The following is a 920-nucleotide window of genomic DNA, read 5'->3' as shown; positions in this document are numbered from 1 at the left end:
CAAATTCCACTGCCCACAGCTGCTGTGGCTGTGGACTGCAGGTGGGTGAGGCACAGGGGGATGCCCATGCTCCCTGGCTGCCTACCTATGGTGGCTCCCAGGGAAAGCAACCCATCCTCCCTAGTAGCAGGGCCTCTGCTGCCTCCACCTGAGCATTTTGCTGGCCATGGCTCACCCTACCCTTGCATACCACAGCCAGCATCTATATGAACCACTAGGGTGTCTGGCCTGGCTCCACCTCCTCCAGTACAAGAGTGCAGCATCCAGAGGCCTGGGGATTGCCCAGCCCTCTCCACCACCAGTGGCACCTGAGCACTCCTCCTGGGGTATAAGGCTGGGCCCACTCAACCTGCTGCTACCACCACAACTGCCACTGACCTGCAGGTCCCACATGTGGGTCTGGGGACTGGCCTGCCTGACCTGTCACAGGCACTGCCAACACCAATGTGGACCACTTGGGTCCCAGAGGGATGTCCGTTGCTGCTACTGGCATCACCCACACCACACCCACTGCACAGGGGCTTGGGAACCTGCTCACATGCCTGGCCCACTGCTGCCATTCCTGGGAACAAGCCACCCGGAGGCCCAATAATCAGCCTACCTGGACCTGCTAACACCAGTATGTATGATGCTCTGGGGCCCTAGGACAGGCATGCTCAGCCCACTGCTGCCATTGCTGGGGCCTGAAGACTGGCCTACCTGGTGTCCCAGTCCCCAGCAAAACTTCATCACAACAGTGTCCACTAGCAAACTGCATCCTGTCATCAAGGAAATCACAGACACCACCAATGCTGTTTATAGCCAAAGAAATCCTACAAAGACTAATCATCAGGGAAATGCAAATTAAAATCACAATGAGATATCATCTTACCCTAGTTAGAATGGCTATCATTAAACAGACAAAAAAACCCCTGAAGTTG

The 920-nt window shown here is 55.7% G+C and overlaps 1 annotated feature.

The window, feature by feature from the left end:
- Nucleotides 212-920: an enhancer, noted in NCBI's record as "H3K27ac-H3K4me1 hESC enhancer chr12:98718309-98719017 (GRCh37/hg19 assembly coordinates)". NCBI's record gives its function as "activates a minimal SCP1, AML or CMV promoter by ChIP-STARR-seq in primed H9 embryonic stem cells {active_cell/tissue: H9 hESC(primed)}" and the evidence as "EXISTENCE:reporter gene assay evidence [ECO:0000049][PMID:30033119]".

The sequence above is a fragment of the Homo sapiens genome, chromosome 12, assembly GCF_000001405.40.
Source record: "Homo sapiens chromosome 12, GRCh38.p14 Primary Assembly".
NCBI classification, from domain to species: Eukaryota; Metazoa; Chordata; class Mammalia; order Primates; family Hominidae; genus Homo; species Homo sapiens.
This window is presented reverse-complemented; position numbering and strand designations above follow the sequence as displayed.